This window comes from Homo sapiens, chromosome 3 (genome assembly GCF_000001405.40).
Source record: "Homo sapiens chromosome 3, GRCh38.p14 Primary Assembly".
Classification (NCBI taxonomy): domain Eukaryota; kingdom Metazoa; phylum Chordata; class Mammalia; order Primates; family Hominidae; genus Homo; species Homo sapiens.
In genome coordinates, this window is record NC_000003.12 from 28,313,666 (window position 1) to 28,319,508 (window position 5,843).

The 5,843-nt window shown below is 35.7% G+C and overlaps 1 protein-coding gene across 7 annotated transcripts in view; it reads left to right on the forward strand.

Moving 5' to 3' along the window:
- The window catches only part of CMC1 (C-X9-C motif containing 1), an 83,524-nt gene that overhangs the window by 72,047 nt on the left and 5,634 nt on the right, over positions 1-5,843 (forward strand). For 6 of the 7 annotated variants that reach the window (NM_001331187.2, NM_001331185.2, NM_001331189.2 and 3 more), the window contains one exon: positions 2,668-2,758. In NM_001331187.2, coding sequence (NP_001318116.1) covers positions 2,668-2,758 — 91 coding nt within the window. Of the gene's footprint in view, positions 1-2,667; positions 2,759-3,087; positions 3,195-5,843 lie in introns of all 7 variants that reach the window. The other variant, NR_138585.2, reaches the window with a different exon arrangement.

Sequence of the window (5,843 nt, forward strand, 5' to 3'; positions counted from 1 at the left end):
GAAGATATTTGGACAAGTGTGAAAGTATATAGACTATGCCTTTATTGTGATCAGAACACATAAATGCTAGTTTGTACCAGTTCCCTACCAAGGACATTTTTACTAATATTAGACAAAACAAGTCTTAATGCAATGCCTAAGCATCCTATTTATCTAAGTAAGTTAAAATATTGGGTTTGTTAAATCAGAAAGTAAGCATTTGCTAACAGCCGTTGTGTCTGTGTTTTCCGGAAAAGGACTGAGGTTTGGTCAACTAGTGTGTTTTCATGAGACAAAATTCATGATCTAATTACCTTTCTACCAAATATTATTTGGGTGAACTGGTCTGGTATAGGTATAGTAAGGTGACAGTAAAGGTAAGGTGGTGCAGGGGAATCCAGCCCATGGTTCATTACCACTATTGAACATGGCAGTTCTCTTAAAGAAGCCTTTAGCTAGCTTTAGCTAATTCCGGATTAACTTTATATACATATTGTTTGAGGATTGCCCATGTCTTTTTATTTGGGATCGTAGTCTTTGCTTATGTAAAGGTAGATCTTAACATCATGCTATAAATAGAAAAATTAACGTATAGGAATAGATAGGCATTCCAGAGTGAAAGTTAGTTGACTTTTAGATAGCCATGTGGCTACCCTTCAGCGTCTCCACTGAAAATGAGCTGGCTATAAGTCTGCTTTGCCTTTTGAGTGTTAGAGAGTCCTTAGTCAAAGGGCACAAAGAATTTCCCTTGGTTTGATTTGACCTGTGTGGCCAGCTCATCTGCGTCAAGAGGAACAAGAACATTTGCAGTTGGAATAAAGAAGATACTTGATTACGTTTAGAGTCTAACAGGCTGGGTTGGGAATGAGAGAGCAAATGTTGGGACTGCTGAGACTAGTGAAGCAGAAGCCAAAGGGAACTAATCCTGTGTGTCCTTGAAGGGGAATACTATGTATCACTCACTTCATGTGATCACACACATTAAATTATTTGAATTAAAGTCATTTCTTGCATCCCTTGTTCCTTCTTCCTATTCCACCAATTTTCTTGGAAGTATCACTATGATGTTGTGAGTGGATACAGGTATCTATGCTATAGGGCTCTTGTCCCAGCAAGGCCCCCCTAATGAATTTTTTATGCATTTAATAAATCTCATTTTTGGTTGCTTGTGGTTTAAAAATATTTTTGTTACATAATTATGTATTTTCATGGACACTCCTAAGATTATCTGTCTAAGACAATTATAAATAATTTATAATCCCAAGTACCTGGAAGGATAACACATAGCTCAAGAAAAGAGAGGAATCTTGATTATTTTGTATTTTCAAAGTTACAAAAGATATTGAGAAAACACAATACACAATTTATTTTTATTTTCATTTTTTTGCCTACAGCTTCTTTGTAAGGACGATGTTTAAGATCTCACTTGGAAATAGTTGCTTACTTACAGTAGATGAGGGGTGGCAGAGTCTGGAACTAGGGCAGCCAGTGGTCAGAAGGAGGGACCAGAGTAGTTCATGAGAGTAGCTGCAAGAGATGAGGAGCAAAGCATATTGTCCTGTGTAAGGGATAAGACAGGACTGAGTCTGACCCAAAGCAAACACAAGACAGAGTAGTAAGTGGCCCACCTGTGGGTAGCATAGGTACCAGGCTTTTCTGGGTTTGTGGTCCTGAAAAGGCAGAATACCCAAGGTGCCAGTACAATTTAAAGAGCAAACTAGCAGAGTGGAAATTTGACAGAAAGCCATTTGAAGTATCTACAGCACCTAGAACTTACTTGGGAATGAAATGGGGGTCCTGTTATTAGAAGTTAAGAAACCATGGCAGGGTTGTGTAAAAGCAAAGGGATGCCTTGCTGCCATCAGGTGGGAATCCACCGGCTTTTGTTGCCAGGTACTAAGAAGACATGCAGAGACTAGACAACAGATACCAATGTCTGGAAACAATTCCCTTTCAAAGGAAGAGTCAACTCTTTGTATTTCTCCTAGAATATACAGTCGTGCACTGCATGACAGTGTTTAGGTCAATGACAGACTACATATATGATGGTGGTTCCATAAGATGATAATGGTGTATTTTTACTGTACCTTTTCTATGTTTAGAAATGTTTAGATATACAAGTACTTACCTTTCTGTTATAATTGCCTGCAGTATTCAGTACAGTAACATATGGTACAGGTTTTAGCCTAGGCTATACAAAATAGCCTAGATATCTACTCAGCTGTACCATCTAGGTTTGTGTAAGTACACTCTGATCTTTGGACCACGATGAAATTGCCAAATGATGCATTTCTCAGAATGTATCCTCATTGTTAAGCAGCCCATGATTGTACTGTTTCTCTACTAGAAATCCTATCTCTACATCCTGTCTCTATGAAGTCTCCTTGCCCTTCATCTCAGAAGTCCTCTCTCCCTCTTCTCAAATCACATTTATTTATACAAAGTGAATATCACTCATCTTATTCTGCCTTTTACTGGTGTACATGTCTTTTGTTGAGCACGGTACCATGTGCCAAGCACAATGTACATAATAGATGTTCAAGGCTGCAGTGAGCTATAATCATGCCACTGCACTCCAGCCTGGGTGACAGGCTTTCTTTTTTTTTTTCTAAAAAGAAGAAAATTGTGTGTGTGGGTATTTATATAGATATAATTACAAGTAATTTTTTCCTTCCAAATTTATTTCAGATTTTACCAAATGTTGCAAGAACTCTGGAGTTCTTATGGTAGTAAAATGCCGGAAAGAAAATTCTGCATTGAAAGAATGTCTAACTGCTTAGTAAGTAGTTGTCTCAGCGTTTGTGCTTGTATGTGTATTTGTGGTAGATAAGAGTATGTTACTTAACTCATTACATGTAATATATTCTGTACCTCTCCATACCAAATTTATCATATTGTTGGCTGAGTCTAAAGTTCCAGTACAGTCTTAAAAATGCAACATATTTATGAAAGAGTCTTTTCAAATTTTCTCAGCATTGTATCTGATTAAAAAGATGAAGTCAGCAGACAAAAATATATGATTTTTCACTATTTAATAAATCTTTTTTCATGAACAGTTTGATCTGTAAAATATAGTACAGACTGATTTTTGTTTATTCTGTTGTAAAGATAACTGAATGAAAATATCTCTGAGACTTCCTCCAGCCTTGTGATTTGTTGGATTAATATAATTTAACTCCTAGAAAGTTGAGATAAATCGTATGGATGATAAAAAGGTAAATTTAGATTTTTGAAGTTAACCAAATTTACTTTTAAAATAATTTTATAATATCGTGTTCACTAATATTTTGTTGTAGTTCCTTAAATTTAAGTAAAAATGTGTGAAGTTCTTTGAATTCACATGCTGATTTATTCACCCATGTTCTATTGCCCACATTATTGACAGATAAGATTGCAGAATACTTTAGTAAGTATTGTTAATTGAATGTTGAGAGATCTTAGTTTTGGTAAGCCTTTGTTTCCTTTAATTTCTGTAGCCTGTGCAGCGTATATGTCAGTATGGTATGTATCTTAGAGGATTAAATAAAAATGTAATGAACACCCGAACCCTACATTTTTTTTTAAATAAAATATGTACACATAAACTTATAGACCTTTTTTTAGAATGGTGGAGTTGGAAAAGACTTTAGAGATTATGTAAACTCATCTCTATATTTGCTATATTTGTAAATGATGAAACATAATCAATATTGATTTTTTTTCTTAAGTTAATAATATCAAAGCAGCCCTTATTTATGGTCCAGGTATTGTACTCAGTGCTTTACCATATAGGAGTAAAAGTTCATTCTGTGACTTAATATTCTTTCAGTTCTATTCTCAAGTGCTTCCAAGAAATGTTTACTGAGTAAACGAATCTCTTAAACTTTTGTATGACTGAATTATTAAATTCTGTCTTATACATTGATTAAATAATTTTTATATCTCAGATTCAGTCATCATAATTGTTATTGCTAGTTTGACATATTATCCTTCACTCCAGTTGGGGGAGCTCTAGAGCAGAGTAGACAGGAGTATAGACTGCAGAGAGGGCAACCTGGGTTCAGCTTCTGTATCAGTGAGAGCTTAGCTAGTCGTGTTACCTTAGGCAGGCTCCTCATTGTAAGAAGGAATAATTATATCTTATGGAGTGATTGTGAGGTACTGCATGTAAACACATTTACCATGATAGGTATTCAGAAAATGTTAGCTCTTTTTTGATTAGTATTTGTTATTATTTATCTGAATATTAATCATTTGAATATCCTTCCCTCTCTCACCCCCTAGAAATACAAGAAGAAAATAACAGATTCTAGTCCATCTGAGGGGAGGAGAGGGGCTAGGAAGGATGGCTGTTTCTGCTTGTTTAGAAGAGATAAGCAGTGGATGTGACATTAACTGAAAGTAAATGGAAAATTATTAGGGAAAATTGTACTTGACTTTGAGTCCCCAGATACACTAAGAAATAGTATTTATTCATCTTTAAATAAGAAGGTGTTCTGCTTTGTTAATTACTATTGACATTTCCATGAAATGAACGTAACTGCTATCCTCTCTCATTTTGAAACATTGTTTTTGCTCCTTTATTTCTACCTCTTACTTTCATTTTTTTCCTTAATACACTATGATCTGATTTCTGTCCTCACATCACTGAACCTGCTCTTTTTAAAGACTCTGATGGGCTGATGGTAGACAAATCCAACAAATTGTTCCTTTTCTTTTACTGGACCTGTCTCTGGCAATCCCTTCTTAAAAGTCTCCTCTGTCTTCCCTGATAATATTTTTTCCCATTTTCCCAAAATCTCTTTGTACTTCTCCATGTTTTTAATCTACTCCTTAATGTTGGTGATTCCCCAAGTTCTCTTCTCATTCTTAAATCTGAGGAAGTTTAGTTTGCACCCATGAATTCAATTACTTACTATAGAAAGTAACATTTGTTTCTTTGTTCAAGTCCAAAAATGAACTGGGCTCCTTTTGCTCGTCCTACAACGTGTCTTTGTGAATTATACAGTAGTCTAGTATCTACAGTCTTGTCTCCTAACTCTAATTGGTTATTTCCTATTGATTTCTGAAATTTCCTGCACATCATCTCTTCCTTTTCATTCCTACAGCTCCTCCTTTGGCCTGCGCCTTCCATCATTTTTGCCTGGATTATTTTAACAGTTTATTGGCTATCTTGCCTCTAACCTTGCTTGCCTCCTTTTGTCCTATCTGCCACATGTTGTCAGATTCATCCAAGACACAAAACTGATCTTACAGGTGAGGTGCTCTATTAATTGTGCCCCATTTTCTTCAGGATTGATTTTAATTTCTGAGTATAGCATAAATGGCACATCATGATTTGACTTTTGCCCATTCCATCTTCATTTCAGGCCTTTTCTCCTATGTGCATAATCTGCTATAGTGGTACCTATCTACTTGGCAGGTTTTCCTGCATTAATTTTTCCTCATCCATGTGTCTTCCCACACTTGCCTTCTATATGGATTTCTGTTGGTCTTTCAAAATACAACGCAAGCATTTCCCCTTGAAACCTCTGCCCTCCCCATTTCTTCCTTGTTTCCATGGTGCACTGGGCCATACCTCTGTCACAGTATTTTGTAGATTTAATTTTAATCCAGTCTTTACTTGTCCTTTACACCGTGGGTTCCCAGGACAGGAGCTGTGCTTCTCATTGCTCTATTCTGTGACAGTGCTATATAAAAATGAATGATTTGGTCTTTAGTTTGGTAGCATAAAGTTAACAGTGAATTTTTAACCATTACTAAAAGTGTACTTCTAAAGATTGAGCCTGATGAACCAGATGTCTGAATATTAGTAATTAAAGTAAGCTTACATTTAACACATGCAGGATTATTTACTTGAAAATATTTTCATTTCCTTCTCATAG